The 2,754-nt window shown below is 41.1% G+C and overlaps 1 long non-coding RNA gene across 1 annotated transcript; it reads left to right on the top strand.

Annotated features, from left to right (window-relative positions):
- The first annotated feature begins 412 nt into the window (after nucleotides 1-412).
- Nucleotides 413-2,215, top strand: LOC105375775 (uncharacterized). The gene is made up of 3 exons (XR_928694.3): nucleotides 413-622; nucleotides 1,804-1,895; nucleotides 1,982-2,215. It is a non-coding gene; the product is annotated as an uncharacterized LOC105375775 (long non-coding RNA).
- Nucleotides 2,216-2,754: the final 539 nt, after the last annotated feature.

Here is a 2,754-nt window from a genome sequence, read left to right as displayed (position 1 = left end):
CTTTGCAAACAAAATAAGTTTGTGGGGCAAGAAAACATAGAATGAGTGGCTCAGGGTGTCTCTACATTATTAGAGAATTTGGGGAGTGTTGTATGTGCCCCCTGAAGTTACAACTGAGATGTAAAGATTGGGAAGATGGAATTACTAGAGAGGATGGAAAGGAATAAAGAGTTTGCAGTTGTTTTGTTTGTCTCCTGCTTGTACCGACAGGACCCAGCACGAGGAGACAGGGAACAAAGAGTTATTTACAAGGTCCTGGAAATTTAGCTTATCTGGAAGCGTGGGTTTAACTGTAATTGTCTGCATTAAGCCTGCTGAGGATACACACTCTTGGTTTCAGAATAGGCCCAAGAATAACCATATTCAAGCGTTTCAATTCTTTCCATTATGAACACAACACCTTAGGGCAGGTTTCTAAGGGCCCTGACAACTTGAATTACTGTCTTTCCCTACTTGCCTGCTTGCGACTGAGCTTACAAGGAAATGACTTTAAACAATGTCACACCTCTTTACCCACAGACACAGTTTACAGGACCTCATTCGCACTCCAATGACAATGAAAGGAAGGGGGTGTTGGGCAGAGAAGCAAAGAGCTCCGGTTCTCACCATCACATGGTAGCGGGTAAGCCCCCCGCAACCTTGGCAAAGTCATTCCCCAGTTCCTGCACTCACTTTCCCTATCTTGGCAAAATGAAGGGCTGGACTAGAAGAGAGAATCTTTCTTTATGAATCTTTCCAATTTTTAACTCCATTCAATTCAACAAACATTTGCAGGGTGGATACTATGTTGCACTCACGGAGCTACACAGCTCCCAGCTGTATAATTTTTTTTTTATTCCATGGAAAACTAGAGTCAGGTAATTTTCATGCAATTTTTAGCATGAAATCACTGGACTGGGAGCCACAAGACCTAGGTTCTGCTTACAGCAACATCATAAAATATTTGTGTGATCTTTACAGTTACATTAGCCATCTGGGTTTCAGTTTCATCATCTGTAAAAGGAGAAGGAAACATGAGCATTATGTTGATAGTTCACAGGCAGTCTGAAGTATTTTGTCATCCACCAGTCTTTTTTTATTTTTTTTATTTTTTTGAGTGGGAGTTTTGCTCTCGTTGCCCAGGCTGGAGTGCAATGGCGAGATCTCGGCTCACCACAAACTCCGCCTCCTGGGTTCAAGCAATTCTCCTGCCTTAGCCTCCCAAGTAGCTGGGATTATCATCATGGGCCACCATGCCCAGCTAATTTTGTATTTTTAGTAGAGATGGGATTTCTCCATATTGTTCAGGCTGGTCTCAAACTCCCGATCTCAGGTGATCCACTTGCCTTGGCCTCCCAAAGTTATGCGATTACAGGCGTGAGCCACCGTGCCCGCCCTCATCCACCAGTCTTATAACCACCATGCACTGAAGGCATATTCTGTGCTACTTGTCAGATAAGAACTGAGGATTTGGAGAAAAATAAATAACCTGTGTAGTTCTTACAATAAATTAGAAAGGGTACTTAGATTTATTCTCTTTTGACTTTGCCTTATTCAGGAAATCTTCCCTGAGGCATAATCAGAATTTTTTCTCCTCCCTCTTTTTCCTGGAATCTTGAGCATTGTTTTAGTAGGAAGTTATTGTACAGCATAGACCTGGTTAATTTACATTCCTGTCTTCCCTTTCAGTCTGGGAGTCCTTGAGGACAGATCTTGGCCACTAGGTTTTCTGTATTTACAATTCTTATACAGGTTCTGCAACCTAGCAGGTGCTCAGTGTAAGTGCTTCCTAGTGATTCCCTGTCACTTATTACTCTATTCCAGGTGTAAGTTTGTTCCCAACATACCAGACAGAGAGCAACTCTCACCAGAGAAGATCCCAATGTGTTTTATGCTAGATCTGACTTTAATTAAGTGTAAGTTGATTAGCTAATTTTACATTTGTTCATTCACTTGGAATATTATAAAGCAAAGCCTCATTCTCCTCTCCTTCCCATTGTAGGTAGACAATGCTCCCATCAGTGCTGGAACTGGCCCCGGTAACTTGCTTTAGCTGATGGAATGTTACCAAACACAACATGATCAAAGGCTTGAGAGATGATTTCCCTCCTGTGCTTCCGCAATTACCATGAAAAGAACATGGCCTGGTGGTCCCTGATCCCCAAAGAATGACGGACACCTGGAAAAAGCTTGGAGTAACAGATTCATGAGCAAGAATAAATAATTATTGTTTTAATTCATTGTGTTTTGAGATAATTTATTATTCAGCACTTTGATAACAAAAGATGACTGATGTGAATAGAAAACCATAGCTGAATCATTCCTTTAGACATCTTGAGGCTTCTCTCTCCATTACCTCTCCAAATTCTAGAGAATATATTTGCTCAATAGAGATTGAGAAAACAAAAAATGTAGGACGTTGGGTACGGAGATTAAGGGCACAGTCATTGCCTTCAAAGAACTCACAGTCATGTAGGAGAGGCAGATAAGTAAATTGATGAATACAGTAAGATGTTACATGTGCTTTGAGAGGCTGAGGCCACACATACATGGGCAGCTATGAATGACCACGTAGAGGGACACCTGAACAAATCTAGCAGGTAAGTGAACTTACTGAAAGCTTTTAAGAAGTGGTGATGTTAAGCTGCGTTTTGACAGATCAGTAAGAAATAATAAAATGTAGAGAGATTAAAGGTGATAAAGCAGAAGGAGTAATATGTGCAGTCTCTTGAGTAAAAGACAGCATGACATGATGAAATACAGAAAACATCTCAG

The sequence above is a fragment of the Homo sapiens genome, chromosome 8 (genome assembly GCF_000001405.40).
Source record: "Homo sapiens chromosome 8, GRCh38.p14 Primary Assembly".
Taxonomy (NCBI): domain Eukaryota; kingdom Metazoa; phylum Chordata; class Mammalia; order Primates; family Hominidae; genus Homo; species Homo sapiens.
The sequence above is the reverse complement of the archived record's forward strand: the minus strand, read 5'-3'. Positions and strand labels throughout refer to the sequence as shown.